The 26,199-nt window shown below is 43.8% G+C and overlaps 1 protein-coding gene, 1 long non-coding RNA gene and 1 pseudogene across 5 annotated transcripts, besides 4 other annotated features; 1 reads left to right on the forward strand and 2 right to left on the reverse strand.

Annotated features, from left to right (window-relative positions):
• Positions 1 to 1,867: 1,867 nt before the first annotated feature.
• KIAA1143P2 (KIAA1143 pseudogene 2) lies at positions 1,868 to 11,270 on the reverse strand (annotated as a pseudogene).
• Positions 11,475 to 12,160: an enhancer, noted in NCBI's record as "H3K27ac-H3K4me1 hESC enhancer chr3:27754223-27754908 (GRCh37/hg19 assembly coordinates)". NCBI's record gives its function as "activates a minimal SCP1, AML or CMV promoter by ChIP-STARR-seq in naive H9 embryonic stem cells {active_cell/tissue: H9 hESC(naive)}" and the evidence as "EXISTENCE:reporter gene assay evidence [ECO:0000049][PMID:30033119]".
• LINC02084 (long intergenic non-protein coding RNA 2084) lies at positions 11,662 to 13,143 on the forward strand. The gene is made up of 2 exons (XR_007095851.1): positions 11,662 to 11,785; positions 11,900 to 13,143. It is a non-coding gene; the product is annotated as a long intergenic non-protein coding RNA 2084 (long non-coding RNA).
• Positions 12,832 to 13,728: an enhancer, noted in NCBI's record as "NANOG-H3K4me1 hESC enhancer chr3:27755580-27756476 (GRCh37/hg19 assembly coordinates)". NCBI's record gives its function as "activates a minimal SCP1, AML or CMV promoter by ChIP-STARR-seq in naive H9 embryonic stem cells {active_cell/tissue: H9 hESC(naive)}" and the evidence as "EXISTENCE:reporter gene assay evidence [ECO:0000049][PMID:30033119]".
• Positions 14,696 to 21,456, reverse strand: EOMES (eomesodermin). Of its 4 annotated transcripts, XM_005265510.5 has the most exons (7): positions 20,157 to 21,066; positions 18,914 to 19,068; positions 18,103 to 18,224; positions 17,478 to 17,636; positions 17,330 to 17,391; positions 16,472 to 16,551; positions 14,696 to 16,352 (listed from the first exon to the last, which is right to left on the reverse strand). In XM_005265510.5, the coding sequence occupies exons 1-7, from the start codon at positions 21,035 to 21,037 to the stop codon at positions 16,264 to 16,266; spliced, it is 1,548 nt and encodes a 515-aa protein (XP_005265567.1). In that variant the 5' UTR covers positions 21,038 to 21,066; the 3' UTR covers positions 14,696 to 16,263. The 4 variants fall into 4 exon arrangements, with proteins under 4 accessions (XP_005265567.1, NP_001265112.1, NP_005433.2 ...); NM_001278183.2 differs by lacking the exon at positions 20,157 to 21,066 and adding an exon at positions 21,173 to 21,456 and having other exon boundaries at positions 14,696 to 16,551; NM_005442.4 differs by having other exon boundaries at positions 14,696 to 16,494.
• Positions 20,492 to 20,701: a silencer, noted in NCBI's record as "silent region_14153". NCBI's record gives its function as "represses an Ori minimal core promoter by ATAC-STARR-seq in GM12878 lymphoblastoid cells {active_cell/tissue: GM12878}" and the evidence as "EXISTENCE:reporter gene assay evidence [ECO:0000049][PMID:35858748]".
• Positions 23,247 to 24,121: an enhancer, noted in NCBI's record as "H3K4me1 hESC enhancer chr3:27765995-27766869 (GRCh37/hg19 assembly coordinates)". NCBI's record gives its function as "activates a minimal SCP1, AML or CMV promoter by ChIP-STARR-seq in primed H9 embryonic stem cells {active_cell/tissue: H9 hESC(primed)}" and the evidence as "EXISTENCE:reporter gene assay evidence [ECO:0000049][PMID:30033119]".

Genomic DNA, 26,199 nt, shown 5'->3' on the forward strand with positions numbered 1-26,199 from the left:
TGTATATGATGTGAGGTATGAATGGCATTTGGATATCCAGTTGTTGCAGCACCATTTGTTAAAAAGACTATGCTTTCCCAGTGAATTGCTTTTGCACCATTTTGAAAATCAGTTGTGATGGTCTCCATCTAGACAATATTCAGTTCCATTGCTTTATCTTAATGCCAGTTGCATACTATCTTGATTACTGTAGTTTTATAATAATTCCTAAAGACAATGTAAGTCCCCCAACATTCTTCTTGGTTTTTTTTTTCCACTTTTTTGACTATTCTAGGTTCTTTCCATTTCCAGAAAAATTTTACAAACAGCTTAGCAATTTCTTTTTTGGGGGGATGGGGTTTTTCTCTGTCAGTCACCCAGGCTGGAGTGCAGTGGTGTGAATATGGCTTACTGTAGCCTCACCTCCTGGGCTCAAGTGATCCTCCCACCTCAGCCTTCCGAATATCTGAGAACACAGGGGTGTGCCACTGTGTCCAGGTAATTTTTAAATTTTTTTGTGGAGACAGGGTCTCACTGTGTTGCTCAGGCTAGTGTCAAATTTCTGGGCTCAAACAATATTTTCACCTTGACCTCTCAAAGTGCTGGAATTACAGCCACCACACCAGCTTCAAAATTTCTAAAAAAGAAAAAGCCTTAATGAATTTATACATCAATTTGGGAAGAATTTATTTTCTAACAATATGGAGCCCTCTGATATGAACACAGTGAATCTCCCTATTTATTTAGGTCTTCTCTAATCTCTCTAAGCAGTGTTTTGTAGCTTTCAGGGCGTAGATCTTGCACATAATTTGTCAGGTCTATACCTAAGCATTTCTTATTTTTGATGCTATTAAATAGTATTTTTATTTTAATTTCTGATTGTTTGTTGCTAGTATATAAAAAAATTGACTTTTGTATATTGATCTTGTATTCTACAACTCTACTAAAATTTATTAGTAATGGCCTTTTTATTGGATTTTCTCCGTAGATGATAATGTTATATTCAAATGAAGTCCATTTTACTTCAATCTTCCCAATCTAAGAGCCTTTTATTTCTCTCTCTTGCCTCATTGGCCAAGCTAGAACCTCCAGTATAATGGTGAGTAGAAATAGAGTCATCTCATCCCTGATGTTAGGGGGAAAGCATTCTATCTTTCGCCATTAAATATGATGTTAATTCTAGGTTTATCAAAGATGCGTTTTACCAGGTTGAGGGAATTCCCTGCAATTTCAAGTTTGGTTAGAGTTTTTGCCCGGCACGAATGTTGGATTTTGTCTAATACCGTTTCTTTTTTTGTTTACACAAACAAAATGTATTTTGTTTAAAAATATAATTTACATATATATACACCCACACAGGGGAAATAACAAAATGGTAATACTAGCTAATTTCTAGAGTTGGCATATTAAGTCAGAGGGGTATTGATGAATAGATGTAGTTTATTAAATTTTTTCCTGTATTTCCTAAATTTTCTATAAGTAACTTGTAGTTTTTATTTTTTTTTTATTTTTTTTTTTGAGATAAAGTCTGGCTCTGTCGCCCAGGCTGGAGTACAATGGCCTGATCTCAGTTCACTGCAAACCTCCGCCTCTCAGATTCAAGCTCTTCTCCTGCCTCAGCTTCCTGAGTAGCTGGGATTACAGGTGACTGCCACCATGCCCGGCTAATTTTTGTATTATTAGTAGAGATGGCGTTTCACCATGTTGGCCAGGCTGGTCTCGAACTCCTGACCTCAAGTGATGTGCCCTCCTTGGCCTTCCAAAGTGCTGGGATTACCGGCGTGAACCGCCGTGCCTGGCCTGTAGTATCTTTATAATAGGAAAAAAATGTTACTTTAAAAAACATCGCATGTACTTTCAACGTAGACTAAATTCAAAATATTTACACTTACTTATTGTCATCTTCACTGTCAAAAGAAAGGAGGCTACTGTTTTTTATTTGTTTTTGTGAGTTCTTTTTGACTGAGTCCTGATTTATTGCATCTTAATTTGTCTTCTTTTTGGGCTTGCTTTTAAACCTGAATATTTTTCATCTGAGGGGCACTTGACTGGTGCTTTACTGGTTTTTGATACATGATTCTTCCCTCAGCTGGAGCTGGTTCTTTATCTGCTTTGGCAGCCTTTACTTCTGCTTTAATTTTCATGACTTCTTCAACTGACAGGTCTCCCTTTTTAAAAAACATCACTTGAGGCTCTTCATCTTTGTCACTGTGATCCCCATTTTCGTCTGGGAGATGAGGCTGGATTCTCTTGGTCTCTACGGTGGGCTCCTCCCTATAGCCAACCCACTCCTTGAAGCGAGCCAGGAATGCTGGCTCGGCTGGCCGCACGTCTTGTCCAATACTTTTTCTGCGTCTATGTAGACAATAATAGTTATTCACTTTTAGTCTATTAACATGGTGAATTACAATGATTAATTTTTGAATGTTACATCAAATAATTATCTCTATTGTTTGTTGCTGGTAACTTAAGATTATTATGACCTTTTGATAAATTTATCCCATTATCATTATTAAATGACCAGTTTTATTTTTTAAAATCTACTTTGATAGTAACATAGCCACTCTAGCTTTCTTTTAGTTAGTGTTAGCATGTTATATCTTTTTTGCCTTTTAAATTTTAAACCGTGTGTGTCCGTTTATTTATTTATTTTGAGACAGAGTCTCATTTTGTCTCCCAGGCTGAAGTGCAGCGGTGCGATCTCGGCTCACTGCAACCTCCGCCTTTCAGGTTCAAGGGATTCTTGTGTCTCAGCCTTCTGAGTAGCTGGGACTATAGGTGTGTGCCACCACACCTGGCTAATTTCTGTGTTTTTTTAGTAGAGACGGGGTTTCATCATCTTGGCCAGGCTAGTGTTGAACTCCTGGCCTCAAGAGATCTGCCTGCCTTGGCCCCCCAGAGTGCTGGAATTATAGGCGTGAGCCACTATGCCAGGTCTATGTCTTTATTTTTAAAGTGGATTTCTCAGGTGGGAGGATTGCTTGAGGTCAGGATTTCAAGACCAGCCTGGGCAACATAGTGAGACCCTGTCTCTACAAAAAAATAAAAAAAATTGTCTGGGCGCAGTGGCTCCTGCCCGTAATCCCAGCACTTTGGGAGGCTGAGGCAGGTGGATCACCTGAGGTCAAGAGTTCGAACCAGCCTGGCCAACATGGTGAAACCCCATCTCTACTAAAAATACAAAAATTAGCCGGGTGTAGTGGCAGGTGCCTGTAATTCCAGCTACTCGAGAGGTTGAGACAGGAGAATTGCTTGAACCTGGGAGAAGGAGGTTGCAGTGAGCCGAGGTCACGCCATTGCACTTCAGCCTAGGCGACAAGAGCAAAACTCTGTCTCAAAAAAAAAAAAAAGTAGCTGGGCAGGTGATACTTTGTTGGTTTATTAGCTATAATTCTTTGTTGTGTTATTTTAGTGGTTGCTTTAGGGTTTGTAGTAAACATCTTTCTCCCATGCTGGATGCTTCCTGACCTCGAACATCTGACTCCAAGTTCTTCAGCTTTTGGACTCCTGGACTTACACCAGTAGTTTGCCAGCGGCTCTCGGGCCTTCGGCCACAGACTGAAGGCTGCACTGTTGGCTTCTCTGCTTTTGAGGTTTTGGGACTCGGACTGGCTTCATTGCTCCTCAGCTTGCAGATGGCCTATTGTGGGACTTCACCTTGTGATCATGTGAGTCAATACTCCTTAATAAACTCCCTTTCATACACACATCTCTCCTATTAGTTCTGTTTCTAGAGAACCCTGACTAGTACAGTTGGGTTTAAATCTACCACAGTATTATTTGTTTTCTGTTTCTTATTCATTTCCTTTTCCTTCTTTTTGTGCCTACTTTAGATTAATTGAATATGTTTTATGATTCTTTAACTTATCACAGTTTGCCTTCAAGTGATATTATATTATACCACTTGATGCATAGGGTAATAACTCAGTTAATATGCTTCTGTTTCTCCCCTCCCAGCATTTGTGCTATAGTTATCACATATTTTACTTCCATGTATGTTATAAACACCACACAATTGGATGAGGGCCGCTAGAAAAAAACAAACAAACAAAAAGTAACAAAATCTTTTTTAAAAGAAAAAAACCTAGAATATCTTATTATTTTTGCTTTAAACAGTCCATTTTCTTTTAAAGAGATTTTAAAAATAAGAAAACAAGTATTTTATATTTATATTTTATATTTACCCACGTAGCTAACATTTGTAGTGCCCTACATTTTTTTAAGTAGATTCAAATTTCCATCTGGTATCATTTTCCTTCTGCCTGAAGCATTTCTCTTACCTTTTTTTTTTTTTTTTTTTTTTTTTGTAGCTTAGGTCTCCTGATGATGAATTCTTTTAGCTTTTGTATGTCTGAGAAAGTAATTTTACCTTTGTTTTTAAAATATGCTTTCCTTAGGTATAAAAATCTAGGTTGATGGTTTTACTTATTCTTTCAGTACTTCAAAGATGTTCTAATGTTATCCAGCTTACTTATTTTTTGTTATCATTTTTATTAGGTTGGTGCAAACACAATTTAGGTTTTTTCATTAAAGGTAATTGCAAAAACCGAAATTACGTTTGCACTAACCTAACCTAATATGTTTGTTCCTTTGCCCAGAATGTGTCCTTGTCCCCCTGACTGTTTTGATGTCTTCTTCTCTATCACTGGTTTTAAATAATTTGATTAAGATAAGCCTTGGTGTAGTTTTCTTTGCATTTTTTTGTGATTGGTTTAATTGAACTCTTTAGATTGGTGGATTATAATTTTTACCACATTTGAAATATTTTGACCTTTATTTTTTCAAATATCTTGTCTGTACCCTTCTCTCTTTCCTCTCTTTGATGCACTCCAATTACAGGCATGTTAGGCTGCTTGAAATTATCCCACAGCTCACTAAAGCTCTGTTTATTTTTCTCCAGCTTTTTATTTTTGTGTGTTTTATTTTATATCCTTTCAATCTCTATACCTCCAGGTTCACTAATCTTTTCTTCTGCAATGTATAATATGCCACTGATCTCACCAAGTGTTTTTCAATTTCAGACATTTGTAGTTTTTATCTCTAGAAGTTCAATTTGGTTCTTTTAAAAATATCATCCATGTCTCTACTTACCATTCTCAACCTTTTTTCTAGCTTTTTGAGCATATGAAATACAGTTATAGTAACTATTTAATATCCTTGTCTACTAATTTTATCATCTGTCACTTTGAGTTGGTTTTGATTGATTTTTTTAATCTTATTGTGGGTCATATTTTCCTGCTTTTTTGAATGTCTGGCCATTTTTGATTGGGTCCTGTGCATTTAAAATATTTTTTGTTCTGTGCTGGTTGTTAGTTTTATTACTATACATATAACTTGAGCTTTCTTCATGGATATAGTTAAGTTTCACTTCTTGTTTATAAGCCTACTTAGATTAAACCAGAGCAGCATTTAGTCCAGTACTACTTTAGCTCACTACTGAAGCAAGACCCTTCTGAGTTCTTTTCCTGATACCTCATGAATTATGAAGTTTTCCACTTTCGTGAGTGGGAAAGGGGACAATCCTCAGTCAGGGTAAATACTGGGTATTAATACCTCTCATCCAGTAGTTCTCAGCTGGGATAATTTTGCCCCATAGAGGTCATTTGACAATGTGTAGAGACACTTTTTGTTGTTACAACTGGTGGGGTAGTGCTACTGGCATCTAGTTGGTAGAAGTCAGGATATTGCTAAATATCCTATAATGCAGCTCCCACAATATAGAATTTTTTGCCTCCAAATGTCAATAGAGCTGAGGTTGAGAAATCCTGCCTAATCCTGTGGGCTTGGGGTATTTTCTTCACATGCGTGTGCTGATCAACACTCAGGTGGAGTTGAGGAAGACCCTATTCACTTCTCTAGATTTTTCTTTCTGGGCAGGTCTCTCCTCTCTGGAACTCTGCTCCAAAAACTCTAGCCATCTTGGCCTCCTCATCCTTACAGTTTTGTCTCCTCAAATCAAGAAGACTGCTGGGCTTTGTCTGGGTCCCTATCCCCATGCTAAACTGAGGCCTGGAAACTCTCCAGGCAGTAAGTTGGAGAAATATTAGGGTTTTCCTCATTCATTTCTCTTCTTTAATAGATTACTATTTTACATTGCCTAATGGAAGCCATATATATATATATATATATATATATATATATATATATCTGGTTATATATATCAGATATATATATATCTGATTTTTAGTTTAGTTTTTTTTTCAAGCAGAAAGTTAATTCATATCCCTGTTACTCCATCTTGTATTAGAGCAGAAATCTGCTTTTGACATTTTTTTCTTTTTTTTGAGACAGAGGAGTCTTGCTCTGTTGTCCAGGTTGGAGTACAGTGGCACGATTTCGGCTCACTGCAACCTCCATCTCCCAGGTTCAAACGATTTTCCTGCCTCAGCCTCCCAAGTAGCTGGGATTACAGGTGCCTGCCACTGTGCCTGGGTAATTTTTGTATTTTTAGTAGAGACGGGATTTCACCATATAGCCCAGGCTGGTCTCAAACTCCCAACTTCAGGCTATCTGCCTGCCTTGGCCTCCCAAAGTGCTGGGATGATTACAGGTGTGAACCACCGCGCCCGGCCATGCTTTTGACATTTTTGAAATTCAATTAAAATCATAGCATTGCTCTAGATCAGTGGTCAAAAGCTTTCCGTAGTGAAATCTTCCTCACAGGAGTATTTTGGTTATTTAATTTTTTCAAGTAGGGTGCCAAAACTGAAAAGTAGGGGGATTTTCACATAAAAACCCAAATTTTTCAGCTATTCTTGAAACATCCTCTTTGGGGAATCTCAAAACAACTCGAGAGTACTTAAGAGTACTCTCAAGAGTATCCTTTAGCAGTCAAGACATTGGAGGGTGATAGGTGGGCTGGATTTCTTCTTCATTGCCCCCAAGCTTCACCCTTCATTCTTTTCTGTCCTGCCTTGTGCCATCCTGCCTCCTCTATAGAGGAGGCTGACCTCTATGACTGCATCAAGAGATTGTTTAGCCCTTTGGATTCTCACTGGGTTCAGCCAAACAGGGGCACTGAGGGGATTTGAGGGTGGAAGGAGAGAGTCTGGCCTCCTTCTTGCTGGTTTACTAAAGGTTGGTCAAGTTCTTCCTAAAGCTGCAGCCTTTGTCAAATGGTCTTATCCACACTACTCTCTCTTTGGATCTGGCAACCTCGCCTATGTACAAGAAAGCTGGCAAACACAGAGAAACCAAATACCTCGTGGACCTTATTGCCAGGTTAAGAATGTGACTCATACATTTTTTTTTCCCGAAACTCCGATGGGAAATAGGGCATTGCAAGGCTTGGAAATGTTTGATTGTCCTTTTCCAGTGAGTTTGTTTTTGTTGAGAGGGAAAAAGGAATGGGAGAGAGTTATTTTGAGGCATGTATCTCCAGATTAAGATTTAGTTGTATTTCTAGAGACTCTCTTCTATTTAAATTCTGTTTTTCAGTTATGTGTTTCATCAATATCATTATGATCACCTTCCATAGTCTAGTCAATTCACAGAATCTGTTTTGACAGCTCTGAACAGAAAAGTCCCTAATGGAAATATTAGATACCATCTTAACCATTTTCTCCAAGTTGTATTCTACACTCTGTAATCTCAGCTTAATGTTATTAGCTCTGGGGCACAAATACACACTCCTACATACAAGCATGTATACACATTTTTGCACACTAACTTAACTCATGCTTCTCTGTGCTCTTCTATAACAGCTATGTAGTCTGTGTCTGTGGTCTTCTAAATATTTAGTGATGAGCACAGACTATTGGTTAATTATATCAACAACAAGCCTTTTTACCAGAGGAACTTGAATCCTGAAAGAAGTAAAATACCAAAGATCATTCTTGGGTTTTAGATCTGTAAGATAAAGACAAAATTTGCCTGCCAAGATTAAGAAAACCAGCAAATATGTAGGGTGAAGAACATATATTCTGTGGATTCACTACCCCAAAGCTATATAGGCCAAAGTGTGCAATGAAGAAGGCACCACTCCATGATAGGCTTAAAAAAAGGCTGAGTGTGGTGGCTCATGCCTATAATCTCAGTGCTTTGGGAGGCTGAAGTGGGAGGATTTTGAGCCCTGAATTGCAAGATCAGCCTGGACAACATAGTGAGAATCCATCTCTACAAAAAAACTTTTTTTAATTAGCCAGGCATAGTGGTGTGCACCTGTAGTTCTAGCTACTCAAGAGGCTGTGGTAGAAGGATTGTTTGAACCTAGGATTTTGAGGCTGCAGTGAGCTATGATTGTGCCTGGGTGATAAAGTGAAACCCTGTCTCAAAAAAAAAAAAAAAAAAAAAAAAAAAGAAGAAGAAAAGAAGAGGAAGAAGAAAAAGAAGAAAAATTAATCATGGATACATTTGGATTTCAAATATTGTTCATCCTCTGAAAAACATAAACAATAATAAAAACTATGCTTTTGAATTTAACGTTTTCATGACTAAACATATTTCCCAAGCCTCTGAAATATTGTATGTCCAAAGTATAGGGTCTAACCCATGATACACTGCCAAACCAATGAGTTCCTCAAGGGGCTTGGCAAACCACAAAACCATAGTGATACTTGGTTCTTGCCTCTGTATAGTGGGGTTTATAGAACTAGAGCAGTCTCTAAGGTGCCTCCCAGCTCTCCAATTCGGTGACTCAAGGAATGATGACTGATTTAGGGATTTAGGAAGAAGTGCTAGTTAACAGAAGGCTATATACTTATGGCATTAATATTGAGTCATTTCAAGAAGAAATGGTGGCAATCTAAGACCTTTGCAGGAAACATTCTGATTGCCTGAAGTTTTGCGGAATAGTCTACAATTTGGTGTCTGGGACGAGGAAGGGAACAAGATGGTGGCAATGGTATCTACATGTTCAAATCTACCCTTGTTATTCTTTGAATTTCCATGATGGTCTCTCTCAGTAACCAACTCCATTCCAGTTCTAGAAGTTCTAGGCTGTGAATTGTGGATAGTAACTTGGACTTTCCCCCGACCTTTCTCTCCCTCAGATTCCTCCCTCAATCATTTCCAAATAAAGTGGTAAAAAACCACTTCTCTTGTGGTAGATGAAATCACTCCCCTCCCTGCTTAACAACCAAATTATTTAATAGTCCTTTTTTTAGCACTTATGATTTCCATATGATGCTCCTCCTTATGAGTTATTGAAATATATTTTTAAAGGCATCAGGAAATTGACAATTTGCCCTGAGAGTAGAAAAACAGATGGAAACCTACTTTATCACTTTGATATGCACTGGTTTAATGTGATTTCTTAGCAATTTGGGGCATATTAGACTGTCTTAATAAATATGTTTCATCCACTAAGTCTTACCAATTTATGCATTTTGTCCATTTTACACCTAGGTTTCTGTGTCTCATGTTCCCCAGAAGGCCTCTCTGTTTTCCTGTGATGATATATAAAGAGCAGAGATCTTGGCTTTTTGGCTTACTCTGTTTAATGTCACATTCAAAGTGTCATTGAGTAAAATTTTCTCATGTATATGTAATTGATAATAATAGCTGTACTGGAATTTACCTCCTTTGCCAACCCCTTAATGAAATAGTGGGTCTAACTGACAGTCATCAATGTACAAAGACCTGCCCCCAAAAGAGACAACTGGACATCATGAGCCTCCTCATGGAATATTACCACCTATAAAATATTATTACTAAAAAAAAGTGGAATCTAGATCAGATCAATAAAACACCACTTTGTTGGAAAAACAAGAATCAGAGGACTATGTTAACACTACTGAACTGCAATCAGCAAAACCAGAACCTGGAAAACTAGACAGAACAAATGCCCCAATTTCTTCAATAAATTGCAAGGAAAAATAAAAGAGAAAAGTTGAGAGGGGAGAGTTCTAGACTGAGAGAATTAAGTGATACATCAATCACATGTGTGGGACCTGTTTGGATCCTGATTAAAACAAACAACTGTAAGGAACAAGCAAACAAAAAGAATAACAAGAACAACTTTATGAGACAACCAGAAAAACGTACCTGGATATTTCCCGATATTCAGAAATGATTGTTGATTTTTTAGATGAGATAATAGCATGACAGTTATATATATATATATATATATATATATATATATTTTTTTTTTTTAAAAGAGTCCTTTTCTTTAAGGGCTGTGTACGGAAATAATTGTGGATTAGAGGACAGGAATTTCGGGATTCGTGGCAGAAAGAGTGGAGTGGGGATTACAGGAAGAAATAAGAGAGGCCATGGATTGATGGTTATTGTAGCTGGTAGTGGACACATGGGGGTCCATTGCTCTCTACTTTTTCAAACTGCATAATATTTGTAATTATTTCTGAATTAATAAAAACTTTCCTTTGCTAATGCATCTAAGTTTACTATCATACATGTTATAAAATTAGTAATTAGTGATACCTACTAATATTCGGAACTACTCAACAGTTTACAAAACAGTTAAATTTATAATCTCATTTCTTCCTTCTCAGTACTCTTTGCCGGGATAGGTGCTGTTGGAATCCCCACTTCACAGATGAGGAAATGAAGTTCAGTGAAGCTAAAGACAATGCCGCTGTAAGGGGCGGCGGACTAGAACTTAAGTCACAGAACTCCAAATTCCAGGCTCCTTCCCCTACACTAAAAAACTTTTAAAGAAGCGTAGGAGTGTGGGGCTCAGCGGCTCACACCTGTAATCCCAGCACTTTGGGAAGCCGAGACTGGTGGATCACCTGAGGTCAGGAGTTGGAGACCAGCCTGGCCAACATGGTGAAACCCAGCCTCTACCAAAAATACAAAAATCAGCCAGGTGTGGTGGCGCACGCCTGTAGTCCCAGCTACTCGGGAGGCTGAGGTAGGAGAATCACTTGAACCCGGGAGACGGAGGTTGCAGTGAGATCGCGCCACTGGGTCCTTTTTTTTCTTTCTTTTTTTTTTTTTTTTTTTTTTTGACGGAACTGTTCAGGACCTGACAAAGCAGCAGCTTTAAGAGTGGAGGAGCTCTCTTCGGCTGGGGAGATCCTTACTCTCCATGGCCACCAGATGGCGAAGGCTGCCCGCGGCCCAGAAGAGAGAGGAGCCTGCAGACCCGCGCGGAAACTCTGCTGCGGGACCTGGAGGCCAAGGGTGAGGCGTGGGGTCCTCCTCCACTCCAACTGTGTGGGGAAACCTGGGTAGAACTTAAAGTTACAAAAGTCATTGTGCAAGCCCTGCTGTCCCCACAAGGGCTTATAGGAAGGGGTTCGGAGCTTTTCAAGGAGGCAGGGGAAAATTAAACTCGTGTCTCTTAATGTGTATTTGGTGGGAGGGGAATGCTGCCTGAAATAATGCATTGCTTCGGCGGCGGTCAGAGATCCATGTGACGCGGGGGCACTTTAGGGACCATTGCTGAGGGCCTGGTTAGCATTTGGGCAGCTGAATCCTTCCCTTGGCGAACTCCATACGTGCCCTCGGCGACACACAGAGGACTCCCAGAGTTGAAGAAGGGGGTGGATGTGTGTGTGCGCACTCGCCCACGTCTCGTGTTTTACTTTTCATTTAAGTCGTAATAAGGAGAAATTCGATGACCAGCAAGGCTGGAGTCCCATCGTCTTGTTGGGGGAGAGGGGGGAGAAGAAAAAGGTGCCTGTAACTTCAGACTGTCCAAGATATCGCTTAGCTCCTGCGCCCGGAAGAAAATCCAGCGCAGGTCGGGTTCCGGCGCGCGGAAGCCCTGCGAACCCCAAATGTGTGCGCTGAGCCGAGGCCTCTAAGCGGTAGGAGAGAATCTGACCTCCGACATTCTTTTCAAGACACGCGCCGGTGGACCGGGTCCTGGGATTGGCTTACTCCCGGGCTGGACCTTGGGGTTCGCATATTTGAAAGCGTAAACTTGAGGAATGACGGCGGGGTGATGGGTATTTTATAGAGTGGGACTCAATCGTGCTCAGCAACAGATTTCTCCAAATTCCCTTTTAAAAAGAGCCTCCCAGAGCTGTCGAAATCTCCGCGGGGTGAAAGCTAAACTTTTGGAGTCGCTGTGTAGCCGGGTAGAGGACACGGCGGCGCGAGCCGGAAAGATAAGTGTCCAGGCGAATGGGAAAGGAAAGATCTTAATTTTTGTTCCTACTGTTAGCTGAATGTCCATAAAAATCAAAGGGAATGCGGGGAAGTTTTTATTCCAGAGCGTTTCCATGACACCCGCAGAGATTTAAAAAATTACATTCCTCCCCCTACGCAGGTTTAATTCGGAAAGAAGAGACTGCAGAGGAGAGGGAAGACCGTGAGTCTGCTTTCACCTAGGTTTAAAGCGAATCAAAGACGGCTGTAAAAAGGGAAACCGGGACCAAAAACAGATTTGGAGCCTCGAAACTCTCCATTGAAGGTTTGGAAGATACGTTGCTGCAGACTTGAAACCGGCTCCAAATCCGGCCCAAACATGGGCTGAAAATATGGCGCGCTAATCTGCTGCTTCCCCTCCTCCTCAAGTTCTTTCTGACTCTTCCCACCTTTCCCAGTTTCCCTTCCAGACGTCTGCGGCTCCCCACTCCACCCCCAGGATAGCTACTCTACATCCCGACAATTCCCAGCTTCTACACCCAGGAGGAGGAATTCTGGAACCACCCAGAGCGAACTCGTGCCGGGGCGGGGTGGGGACCGGAGGAAGGTCCTGCTCCGAATTCTCTCCAGAGCAGAAAAGAATTCTAGAGGCTACATGTGGGCTGCTTTCCCCCCTTCTTCCTTTTTTCCCTCGCAAACCAACAACCAAAAAGTGTTTGGTGATGGAAAGAACACCAGTGGAAAACGGCAAATAACAGTATTTCCAACTCCGAGTCAGGTCCTCTTTGCACTGCTTTTTCCTGTTTCATTGCAATTTATTGATTTTATTGTGGTTTTTTGTTTATTTGGGGCAAGAACGGAGATGTGAACCAGGACGAGCCAGCAGACCCCCGAGCCAGTATCTCCTCCCTGGGCAGGGAACACCGCCTGCACCGGTGCATACTAGGAGACCCTGGCGGAGAATGTAAACAAACCGGGCGCCGAGCCCTTGATCTTTATTTAAATAGAGGCTTGTTTATCGGTGTCATCCTAGGAGGATTAATTAGATACATCTCTTCACAATTTGGTGTCTGACACTCCATCTTAGGAATGCCTTATCATAAGGTGTTAATTGGGGCCACTCAGCCACTTACGTTTCTATTAAACACTGTGAGGGACTTTTCACAAGTACCAGGTTCTTTTTTACTGTACGATGCAAAAACATACAGGACCCGAAATAGACTAGGGCCAGAATCTGCTATATCCCGGCAGTGATTAGCACTTTGGGGCTTTCTAGAGGGCAGAAATAGGAGAGCACTGTTTTCGAAATTCCATCGCATCTCCCAATATTCGGTGGTTGGATGCAGATGTAAGGGGGCTGTTGGGGGTGTGGGGAAGGCGCTGACCAGGATAGGGGGGCTATGAGTCTCCCTTCCGGAATCTAAATCAGTCATCCACAGTACATATATCTTAAAAAGCACATCTTCAACGCTTTTGTCCTTGGCTCCCCGGTAAAGTTCGGGGCGCCTTTGCCAAAGTGTTTTGAGTAGGCCGTTCGGAAACGCGGAGCAGGAGTTCGAGCCCCCAAGGTCACGGGTGGCGCGGGAAGAACTCGGGCCCCAGAGGGACGGAGGGGAAGGGAGACAGGACAGTCGAGGTACAAGGTCCTGGCGGCCTTAATTGGGCGCAGAAGGGGAGGAGGTCTCGGCTGATTGCTCGCCTCCCAGCAGCTAATCCTCTTAGCAGCTGCATTTCCGCGCTACACAGTTAGCAGAATGATCCTCCCAGCTAGACCTTTACCCCGGGAGGGTCCAGGAGGGGGCTGGAAAGGTTTGCAATCTGGGCCTGAAGCCGTCTGCAGATAAGCCTGGCGGGACGTCTGGCTGGGGGGACAAAGGGGACCCTCCACCCCACTCTTTGGACCTCCCAGGGTTCAGCCAGGGGATGGGCTGTCCTTCGTCTTCCCGTGGAGCGTGGGCCAAATAAACGGAACTAAGCGCAAGGTGAACTGCTCCAAGGTCACTGTTTGCAGAGCGGCAGTGCACGGAACGACTGGAATCCTCCTTTGTAAGTGCCACGCCCGTCCCTAGCCTGCGCCTCAGACCGAGTCCGGGCGGAGTTTGACTGCAGCTACTGAGGCCGGCAGCCGGCGGCGGCGGGTGCGCAGCGTCTGGGTTCAGAAGAAAGCCGCAGGTGGGCGCAGAAGCTGAGCTGTGTGCAGCCCCCCGCTCCGCCGCGCCCCAGGGACCCTGAACTGGTGGGCGCTCAAAGGGCCACGGGGGTTCCCAGGGAGCCTAGGTGGGCCTAAGGATGGGTGGCCCCAAGTAAGCCTAGAAAAAAGCCCAGAGAACTTAGTGGCCAGGCGCTCTGACAGAGCCTGGTCTCCAAGAGCCAGAAGCGGAGGTTTTCGAGGCTTGGTTAAGTCTGATGTGGGCAATCGGCAGCAATCTTCCCTCCCCCGTTCCCCCGCCCCCCTCCCCCGCCCCGCCAACACCCATTGTCCAGACTTCCCAGTGGGGTAAGGAAATAGCCCCATTCCACTTCAAGGAAAAAAGAAGATAAACAAAACATCCCCACCCCCGCATGACTACAGTATCCAGTTAGAGATTCTAGAGCCTTCCGTGGAGGTAGGGGATGGGTGAGGCACTGTTAAAGCTGAAAACGATACAGGAGGAAGCAAAATGAGATCTTTAAAGCAAAGATGAAAACCCCAACAGCACAGAAGACAGAGCTATGTCCGTTCCCTTACTGAACCACATTTATTAAAAATGACTAAGACTGTACATAAAAATCCAAGATCTCTAAAATGCCTATAGGAGCTGTGGTATCAGGTTTTAGTTTCTTCACATTACCAAGTTAGGGAGAGGGGATGGCGCAAGAAGAGGATGAAATAGGAGTTTTCCTTAAACACGGTTCAAGTTAGTACATAGTAGCTGAATACATTCTTAACTATCTAAGAAGTAAACAGAATATTCCCAAATATCATGGGGATGATGAAACTCTCCCCTTGCCCCTGCAGCTGTTAAGTGATTTGCAAATTCTTTACAAAGCCAAAGCACCAGTTTTACATTATCCCAGACACCTATGTAGACTATTTGTACAATATATACCACATTATTCTATAGTGTATCTAAACACACAACTGTACACTTTTAAATTCTCCCTTTTTTTTTTTTTTTTTTTTGGTGACTCCTTAGCTTGCTCTCTCCTGAGTCCCACTGGCCACCCCAGCACACAGCAGAGGCCTAGCAAGTCTCAAGTGAGGCAATCCTGGACTAGGGCAAACATGGCTTGTTCCAAAAGCCGGGGGTTAAGGAATCAAAGTCAGGTGAAACTATCACTTTCACAAAAGCTTTTCTTGACTCCTGGGCCTAGTATCTTTTGCCCCTGGCAGAATGTAACAGCAAAATGTCTCCTTCTGAAACGGAAGGCACAGCCCTCTTTCAGAAGCAAAACACCTTAACACTCGGCTTCTATTTGCTTAAGAATTTACAAATAGAAATGAGAATCAAAGGTTTTAACTCATCTGATAGCACTGGGCACCCAATGTTCACAGCCTGCTTCTTTGAAGGGTTAGTGTCTCCCCAATAAATAAATACAGAACCTTGGATACCCTTCGAATTTTAAAATACCTTAAAGTCTTCCATTAATCTTATTTTTTAAAAATGCTAGGTTTGTTTCAGTTACCTGCAGCAATCAAAAAGCTTTGGCACCTTCTTTTAGAGAATTGCACAAAACAGGATGCATCAAGGTGGAAGGCAAACATCTTTTTGGCAACCTAGGCAAAGAAGACAACAAAAAACACCACCAAGTCCATCTGCAAAAAGTTAGCTAATTTTTGAGGTTAAAATAACTCTTTAGGGAGTTGTGTAAAAAGCATAATACCCTCCCATGCCTTTTGAGGTGTCTTTACTATACTCTTCAGCATTAATGTCCTCACACTTTATGGAGGGTGAATTTTCATTACTGGAGTTGCTAGGAGACAGCCGCCTTCGCTTACAAGCACTGGTGTATACTCCTGAATCATTGGAATCTAGAGATTTGATGGAAGGGGGTGTCTCTATCCAAGAAGAGCCAATTTCCTCTTTCACTTTCTCCTTGGAGAGCTGATCTTCAGAGAACACAGTGGGGCTTGTTCTGGAGGTCCATGGTAGTCCAGCTGCCATCTTCCTCTGGTAAGAACCTCGACCTCCCCACCCTGCCATTGCAGGAAAGGTTGGGTCTGGGTAATACCCCAGGGCATGGGATGTCTGAAGGGGCAAGGATTTAATGCCATATGGGAGCAATGTGCTAGAAGTATATTCAGATTCATAGGAACTGATGTCTAGTTTGTTGGTCCCAGGTTGCTGGACAGGCGTGACAAGCCACCGCTGGGGAGGGTTGGCCACCTCTTCGCTCTGTTGGGGTGAAAGGAGGCCGTTGGTCTGTGGCACGGTTCTCTCGCCATTATAATAGCGGGCTTGAGGTAAAGTGTTGACAAAGGGCTCCGGGAAGAAGGATTGAACGCCGTACCGACCTCCAGGGACAATCTGATGGGATCTAGGAGAATCCGTGGGAGATGGAGTTAACCTGTCATTTTCTGAAGCGGTGTACATGCTACAATATAAAGAGAAACACTTAAAAAAAAAAAAAAACCCTAATGTTGTCCCCAAACAAACCACCTCCCAGAAATGAAAAAGGCTTGTGTTGGTTATCTACACCGAAAGTGCTGGTCTGTTGGGCTGAAAGAACAGAGGCAGGAGATGCACTGGCCCATTTTAGCTGGACTCTTGGCTTATTGGGAAAAATTTCCCACCATGCAAGAAAAAGTTTCCTCCTAGGCATCAAGTATTTAAACTATAGAAAATCTACCTTTACTAGTCCTAGAACACGAAAAACTCAGATCAAACCTCCTTTGTCAATGTGATGGAAAAAACACTGGCTGTGGCGGTAGAAAACTCAGATTTTAAAAAGAGCAGGGCCTTGCTATTTCGTGTTGTGAAATTACATCCTCTTAGTTTCAGTTTTTTCTTATGTTAAAAAAAAAAGTGGGGGTGGGGGAGAGTAATAATATCTGCTCTTGGGAGGATAAAAAAATGGATCAAATGAAAAGAAAGGTATATATAAATGCAGATTCTTAAAATTTCAAATCTTCACTCAAATGCTAAAAAAACCTCTTCATTTTTAAGTCCTTAACATTTCTTCAGAAATTAACACAACCTTTCTGAGAAAAATCTAAAGCAAGATTAGTAAAGGAAAAAATTTTGGAAAAAGAAAAATATGTAAAAATCCCAAAGGTAAAAGCTCTTCCTAAAATACATTATCAGCAAAGTGCCTGTTGATGTATGTCCTGCTCAGAGATGATCAGGCAAGTGTGGATAAAAGCTGCACTTACGAATCATAGTTGTCTCTGAAGCCTTTTGCAAAGGGGTTATGATCAATCTTTAGTTGAGTAATCTAGATAGGGGAGAAAAACAGTCATTGAGTGATTTATCATGCTGGACCTTAGCTTTAGAGATTCTTGAGATGTCTGGGACACTCACATCGGTGTTTTGGTAGGCAGTCACTGCAATGAATTGCGTTTCTGAGAAGGTAAAAGTCTGGGTCTTTGAGGGCTCATTCAAGTCCTCCACGCCATCCTCTGTAACTTCAACAATATGCAGTCGGGGTTGGTATTTGTGTAAGGATTGTAAGACTATCATCTGGAAAGAGTACAGAAAAAAATTGCTAAATCTAAAAAGCCTCTTAGTGGTTCAACAAAATTAGATTTTGACAAATTATGTATTTTGGTATTGGACTTCTAAATGCTCCTCACTAACAGCTTTGTTTATTGCAAGTTTAAAGGTCTCATTATTGCCCCCCCCCTTTTTTTTTGAAATTTAAATCATAGCTGGGTATGTGGTTGTGATAGATATGCTTTCCTCTTGGTTTCCTAAATTCCCAAAATACTTCGCTATTTCTGTTCTTAATAGTCAACTCACTGTTATCGAAATCCAATAAGAAAGTGAAGATGAGAAAGGTCAAAAGAACAAAAATGGTTAGAAATAGGCGAGCAAACAGGTCACAAATGCAAATATTATAAATACAGTGAAAAGAGTAGGGACTCTTATTAGAAAAAAGCCTTATAGTCAAAGCCAGAAGATATCCCCTCCTGCTCTGTCACTCTACCTGGGTGTTGTTGTTATTTGCGCCTTTGTTATTGGTGAGTTTTAATTTCCCGAATGAAATCTCCTGTCTCATCCAGTGGGAACCAGTATTAGGAGACTCTGGGTGAACATACATTTTGTTGCCTAAGAGAAAATGAAACAAAACACAAAACCCAAGCATATAGGGCTGTTTACAAATGGAGAAAGCGGAGGGATGTCTCTTAGCTATGAGCAAGATATAAGAGCTAGACTTACAGTTGGTCTCCCAGTAAAAGTTGCTTAAAGAGGCCAGTGGAGACCAGCAGGACTACATCCATATCCCTCCCAGGCCCCTGTGCTTCCAACCTTCCTTGCACTAGGGACTCCCCTGAATGGCATTTCAGAATTTAGAAACGGAGCTAACAAGAGATGACTCTTGAAGGTCAATTTGGGGCCTTCTAAAGCTGTAAGGGCAACATCCGATGGAAGACAGTTGGATATTTATGGGTGAACTAAACTTTGGCTGGGCTTTCTCAAGTGAACATTAGAATCCCAGGAGCCCTTCCCACCTGGAGAGCTTATGACTACTGATTTGTTAAACGTAGGGATTGGGGGGTGGGGTGATGTCTTAGTTAAAGGTTCTAAATATCTACATATTGGCAGACAAGAAATCTGACTTAGCAAACTCTCCTCTCCGTCAAACAAGCAACTCAAAGACACTCATACTAACACCTCTAGGCCTCAGAATGGAAGGGGAAAAAAAAAGTGCTACATTTAAATGTGAGTTGTGTGAGTCGAGGGTTACGATTTCTTCCCGCCCGTTCCTCCCCGGCCCGAGCCTCTTCTCTGCTCACCCTGCATGTTATTGTCGGCTTTGCCACAGGTCACCCATTTGCCCCCCTGGAAGCGCCAGTGGTTGGGGTCCGCCAGCACCACCTCTACGAACACATTGTAGTGGGCAGTGGGATTGAGTCCGTTTATGTTGAAGCTCAAGAAAGGAAACATGCGCCTGTGCAAGGGAATAGAATCAGAAAAATCGATTTTAATTGGGATGTCCTAGAACAGGCCCAGGCCCCAGCGGGTTCCCCAGACACCTGGGATAGGGTCGGAACACATTTAAAAGTTTGCAGTGAACAGAATGCTGGTAGATCAAGTGGTCTGAAACTATGTAAAATATTTTTGAGTTGGCAACTCTTGGAACCTTTCCGTCTTTTCAAAAAAAAAAAAAAAAAAAAAAAAAAAAAAAAAAAAAAAAGCTTGCCCCAACATCGGTATATTCCAAATTCGCGCGTGCTTCCGAAGGCTCATATTCTCGGCCCTTTCAGACGCTCTTAAAATTTTTCTCCTAGAATGTTAAAAACTACTAATTTTTAAATGCACCATTTTGAAAAGTACCAGAGAACAATATTAGGTTATTCTTGTTAAAAATATATATTAAAACTTTAGGCTAAAAGTCCCCTTTGAGTGCCCCTCTCTCAGCACCCACCCCTCCCTTTCCCCAGAAGTAGCCAGTGTTAGCAGTTGGATGTATATCAGAACTTTCTCGCGCACCGAACCCGAGCCAGGTCTGGCTCCAGGGCAGATCTAACCACCTACTCCGACCGAGCTTCCGAGGCCGGCGCTCTAGCCTTCATGCCCACCTCCCGGAGACGCCCCGTGGAGACCCTGGCGCCTAAAACTGCGGGAGCCCATCTACTGCGCTCAGGTGGCCAGCTCTTGAGCCTTCCCTATCCGTGGCTCCTTGCCGGCATGCAGGCATGCACAAGCATACCGCCGAGCAGGAGGATCTAACGAATCCAGCTTGTGGACATGCCCTAATTTCCATTTCCGCCTCCTCCAGGTCTGTTCAGGTGAGGATGATGGGAGGGAAAAGCGGTGTACAGCCGTAACATTGGCACCCTGCAAGAGCCGCCGGGGCACTGACACAGAGGGACACCGCATTGGAGATGCGGTGTCTACGGAGATTTATTGCGCGCGGTGAAACACTCTAAGCACCGCGCGGAACAACTGGGTTCAGCTCCCTCATCCCGGACCTTCCCCAGGACCACACGTCACCCTTTATCCCCGAACCCAGGGGCCCCTCCACGCTGCGCTCACCTGCCCTGTTTCGTAATGATCATCTCAGTTTGGTGGCGGTGGAATTTGAGCCACAGAGGCCGGTTGCACAGGTAGACGTGGGCACGGAAGCCAGAACCTGGAACCCCCAGGCCCCCCAGTCCTCCGCAAGATCCCGCCGCTGCGGCTCCAGGGTACGGCCCGTAGAGCGGAGCCCCCTGGCTGTACTGATAGGTGCCCGGGCCGCCGCCCCCGCCGCTGCTACCGCCCGCGCCACTGCCCGCACCGGCTCCTGGGCCGAACTGCGCCCTCCCGGGTGGGCACACAGCCGCGGGGAAGCCGCCGGGGGGCAGCATGGAGCCGTAGGGGTAGCGCGCCCCGTTAGGAGCCGGGTACACAGGTCCGTGGGGCGCCCCAGCCGCCGCCTGGTACGGGAAGAGTGAGCAGGGCGCAGCCAGCTCCGACCCCTGAGGACCGGGGGACTGGAGGTAGTACCGCTCGGAGCTCAGGCTGTCCATGGAGTAGCGCGCAGTGGCCGCAGCCGCGGCGGCGGCGGCGGCGGCGGCTGCAGCGGCGGAGGGCAGCTCCTCCTCCCCGCAGGGGGAGCCCTTGCGGCCGTCCGGGGGCCCCGGCTTGGCCACTGCCGCAGCGCTGGCAAATGCGTCCCCGGCGTCGGTGTCACTAAGCATGGCCGCGGGGGCCCCTGCGCTGGCGGCTGCGGGCTCCCCGCTCACCGCCTCGCAGGAGAGACTGCCGGAAAACTTCTTGGACGCTTTGTCTAAGTCCAACTTCTGAGGAGAGGGGGCCGCGCTGGGGAGGTGGCCAGCGCTCCCGCCGCTGCCGCCTCGCGCACTCTCCAGCGGGTAGAAGTGCGCGCCAGGCAGGTTCACTGAGCTCACCAAGAGCTGCTCCCCTAACTGCATGCTTTGCAAAGCGCAGACGGCAGCTGGCTGCTTCCTCTCCTCCGGTGGCCTTATTATAAAGGCAGGATGGGGGAGCCAGCGCCCTCTTCCGAGGGGAAGGTAACTTCCCCTTCCTCCCGCGCCGGGGCTACCCACCTGCCGACTCGCGGGCCGCTACTGCGCGTACTGGCGCGCCCTGAATCCAGCGTCCTTTCCGGAAGGAAAGCGCCGTGAGTTGGAAAGCAGGAGGTGGAAACTAACCCAGAAGCCCTCTCCTTTTCCTTCCTCGTACCTCTTGCTCCTCAGGACCCCCACCCTCCTCCCAGGCTCACACGCTGGAAGAAGGTGACTTAGATCTTTGTCCCCATCCACCCACTAGCCCGCGCCTTTCTGCCCTTTTTCAATTGCCAAAGCATCGGTCAAGTTGACCACTTGGAAACTTATGGGCTGTCACTAGCTGCTTTATATATTTGCGGCCAGGGAGGGGCTTCCCGGCCTCACAGCCCGGAGACCCTCCTATTGGCTGGTGGAGGTGACACTAATTCAATTAGGCATTTACTAATTGGATCAAGTCGCCTGTGACTTTCTTTTCCTTTTTTTTTTTTTTTTTTTTTTTTTTTTTTTGAGACTGCGTCCCGCTGTGATAATCAATCCTGGTGTCTGTAATTTCGCCGGAATTTAGGGGGACAAAGTTTGGGGTCTCCATAGCGGTGTCCACCCTTGGCGCATTAGTCATCTCAGCCCTCCGCTGGAGGAATGAGATGGCTGGAGCAGATTTTAGAGGCCAGAGAGAGAAAGACTCTTCAAGCTGATAGCTTGCAGGGAAGCGCCCGTCCCGGAGGCTGGGGAAACTGGGGCAAGTTGGAGACAGGCCCAAGGAAGTCTCTTTCCTCGTCGGAAGCTGTAACTTCAAAGCACACCTTCCTCTTGTCGAAGGCAAACTCCCTGGCCTTCAACGCACAGAACCACTTTTTGTTTGTTCCCATCCTTTTACCCAGTGGGAAAGGTTTGTAGAGAGGAAACTCGCGCTAAGCTTTTGGGATTCCGGGGACGGCCAGAGCACATTGCCATCCTGGAGGACCTAAGCTCTCAGCTTCTAAATCAGAAGCTTGGACAGGGTACTGGGGACAGGACAAGAGTGAAACTAAGCGAGCTAACACCAACTTCATACTCACGCCAACACAACTGCTTTCGGGGAGACAGTCACTTTTATTCCCCACAATTTAAAATCCTTTCTGCTCAGTTTTCCTGATCCCGGATTCCGTCCCTTCACCACCATCTTCAGTTAGGCCTGACACCAAGAAACAAAGCTTCCCTAACAGCCCCACAGTTAGGATTCCCTGCGCCTCTGCTCTGCGGCAAATACAGAAGGTAGAATAATTAGTGAAATAATCAGTTTGATATTGAATTAAACTCCAGCTGCTTGTTTCTTCGCTGCGTTTCCTCAGATAGATTCAAGAGCGGGGCCGTCATATTTTATCGTTTCATTATTACGGAAGCGGGGGGCACGTTTCGTTGCGGATAAGGAGAAGCCTGAATATTCGCTGTTAATAAGCAATTACAGACGCCGCCAGTAATCGCTCCGGGAGCGCATTTTCCGGCTGAGATGTCGGGACTCTGCTTCCCCAACCGAACGCGATCACACGGGAAACTCTTCGCCCACAACAGATGAGATGGCCAAAGGATTGCTGAGTGCGCACACGCAAGTGTAGAACAGTGCGAAGCTTTCCAACCCAGTTTTCCAACCACAGCAGCACCAACATCGGCATGTCTGGGGTCTCCGAGAACGAGGTCCTTAATGCACTTAGACTCTCCAGGGCATTTATCACGGTTTTTTTTTTCTTTTTTGATGTGTGTGTTCGCGCGCTCGCGCGCTCGCGTGTGTGTGGTGGTGAAACCCAGGAGTGCGCGAAGATTTTCAGGGTCAAGGCACAGCCACAGGGGAGGGGGCAAGTTGAGACTAGTGGGCTGGGGCGGTGGCCTTGTAGGTCCTGGGACAGAGTGGCCAGGAGCAGATCGCCAGAAAGCTGGTACTGAGCGCGTTCTGCCCTGCGCTTCCTGCGTTTTGTGTCATCAGTATAGTTAGTGTTTGGCACGGCTGTTTTGATCACTACATTGTCCATGCCTTCCTCCCCTGCTTTAGTGTTATTTTGACCCAAGGAAGTCTAGAACATTGATTGTTCAAGTAGTATAGCTCTGTGAATACCTCATGACTGTCAACGTGAAGATCCCGTGAGGGGTACGCGAGCTCAAGGAAAGAAAGAGGCCGTGCAGCTTGGGCGGCTTGGACGACGTATCTATCCCTGGGCTAGCGGGTCCTGATTACTATTCGTAGGATCCTCCACATTATCCTTTACCTGAGTTGCAAGATATCTAAGGCAAAAGTAGGGATGAGAAATCTCCCTAATGTGAGACCTAATCTCACGTTATTTGGAGCTAGGGTGGCCAAAGGTACATGACAGTTTTGCGCTTTAACAAAGCAAGAAGCGGGCCTCGGCGTCCCTTCAAAATGCTTTTGACGCAGCCAGGGAAGCGCTTCGCGTGGCAAAGTGCCATCGCAGGCAACAGGCATCGTTCCGACCCACTCTGGCGCGAATAACGCGGGCCAGCTGTCCCCCGAGCCACATCAGAAAGCGTTGATTTTATTCCAGCCCCAGAGCAAGCTTTTGAAAGCGCATGAGTTCAGTATGAGCACCACCTAATTATTAAATATACACACGATGTATATAATTAGAATTTGTATTGATTCTTGGGGACAGGAAATTTTGGTTGATATCTACCCACTTCCCCAGTAAATCTATTATTTTTCCCAAACTTCAACACATTTTACATATGGAGGAGCAAAGACAAATTCAAAGAGAATAAAAATTCAGTTTCTATAAAACTACTCTAGGACCCAGGATTTTTGGAACATGGAAAATATGTACATAATATTATATTACATATTGTATTACATTACATTTGTAAGTATATGTTACAAATTCTCTTTAAAATAATGAAAAGCACTGTTTCAGCTACAGATCTTTTTTTTTCTGGCTGAAGATAAAAAATCTCATTTAATGGTTCCTCTGTGTTAATTAGCTAATCACATTATTATTATTATTATTACATTTAGAATATACTAGTCTAGAATGCCTGGAGAGTTATAGATGAGCAAGTCTGTGATTTCCTGCTTGAAATGGGCTTTCCTTTTGCTGGCTCAATATTATAGCCAGGGGAAGAGACATAAAAAATATTTTCACGTGTCCCAGCCACACTTTAAAATCCAGGCACTCCTTTCCAGAAGTAGGAATAGAAAAGAAAGCCAAAGCAGTGGCTTAAGTGAACATGTCAGGCAGCACCCTCCTTAGACTGGGTGGGCAAATAACAGAGCCTTCCAGCCTGTTTGCTGTTTGATTTCAATTACACCCCAAGCTTCATGAAATCCAAATGAGACATTTATTGAAAGGTGCCTGGTTTTATGTGGCTCAACTGACAGTGTATTGGAATACATTGAACAAAAACATCAACACTGGGGAGGAAACATGGAAACCCCTTGAAACCCCAGACCCAAATACCTGCTGGATTAACTCAAATCTTGTACCTTTCAGCCTGAGATGGAGCAAGCAGGAATCTTTAAAGGCTACCAGGAAGCCAAGGCCAAGTCTGTGTGTGAACACATTAAAGATCTCACGCTCTATTGTTCTGAGGAATAATACCAACTTCATACCACTGTCTTGGTCAAAGTTATTGCCAACTTGACCAGATGACCTCTTTATCTCTTTCTCCCCCTTAAAGGTAACCACTAGCCATGCATTGATCTTTTAAAAGCAAAACTGAGAAGCATTTGGTTGGAACAGGATTATTATATAAGAAATACATTTACACACATATGGGTATGTTACAGAGGTGAGTTATAGATGAGTGCAATGATATAAGGTTTACCTCTCCCCATGTGCCACCCACCCCCCACAACCAAGGGGGCCCATATAAATGTCCCAATAAATACTATTATTTTCACCCCCACTAAAAACGTGTTATCAAAACACTGTCCATGTTATTCAAACACTTTGTAAATTCTGAGCAGACTTGCTGCCGGTTCTCCTTTTAACCCTAGGAAAACATTCCAACATTAACCGGTCACCAGCGCTTCGCCTGGACTCTGGGAAAGCGTCAATGGGTTTTTTGTGGTGAGTTGGTCCTTTTACTATTTATCTATGGCCCTTTCTTTGTTGATGTTACATTTTATTTCACCAACTCAGGTTCACTCTTTGGCCCTTTGTTCTCTGATGGCCAGATCTGCCACCTCTGCTGTGCTTTCCAAAGAGGGAGGGAGCTTTAATCACCGTTAGGTTGTTCATGTTTCATTTTTTTTTAAGCAAATGTCCCGTAAGATAAAACATCTTGGCAAAGACAAGCAGTGTTGATTCTGCTGACAAGAGCAAGATACTCCCACCAAAAGTTTCACTTTTATAAGAATTTTTAGAATTTATATTTCACCATGACACTGAAATACACTGACCACTTGCTTTACAAAAAAACAAAAACAAAACAAAACAAAAAAACCCCAAACCAGAGCTACACATGTGTGACGTGAAGTGTTATATTAAACCCATGGTATTTTTTTCAACAAAAATGACCAATTTAAACTATTATCTTTGCTTTAAGTCTATATATCTACATTGCTAATGCACTTTGTGGTTCACTGTTAAAATATGAGGAGGTGAAGGAATCCTGAAATGGAAGTTAATAAATAAACACACTAATAGTTGCTTATTACAAAAGATAAATTATCTTCTCCTAAAGATTGAATCAAGAGTCTTTGGCAACAGCACAAAATCATGACTTACCTTTTTTATGAAAGTAATTTTTAAACTGCTAATGAATTTCTGTATTTAGCTGCTGTTTTATCATCATCATTATCATCATCTTTTTCTTCTTCCTCATCATGTATATGGGAATATATAATAACAAGAAAAGCCACATTAGGCAAAGAAAGTAAAACACTCTCAAGAAAGTGTATTTTGGGAACGTTTGGCTAATTGTTGCTACACTATATACGAAAGTTATACGGGGCTCCATCTATCTTGCTCATTTTTCTACCCTGAAAAGCCTGGAGCACAGTAGGTGCTTATCAATTAAATGAAAAGATTTACTAAACCTGTGTGCTGGAACAGCTAACAGAGGTCAGGGACAGTGTCAGG

The sequence above is a fragment of the Homo sapiens genome, chromosome 3 (assembly GCF_000001405.40).
Source record: "Homo sapiens chromosome 3, GRCh38.p14 Primary Assembly".
In the NCBI taxonomy this organism is placed as follows: Eukaryota; Metazoa; Chordata; class Mammalia; order Primates; family Hominidae; genus Homo; species Homo sapiens.

Coding starts and splice junctions, on each gene's coding strand:
- EOMES (NM_001278182.2), bottom strand. CDS start 21,037: ATGCAGTTAGGGGAGCAGCTCTTGGTGAGCTCAGTGAACCTGCCTGGC. Junction 19,069..20,156: donor ATCATTACGAAACAGGGCAG/GTGAGCGCAGCG, acceptor TCCCTTGCACAG/GCGCATGTTTCCTTTCTTGA. Junction 17,637..18,102: donor CAAATAACAACAACACCCAG/GTAGAGTGACAG, acceptor TACTCTTTCCAG/ATGATAGTCTTACAATCCTT.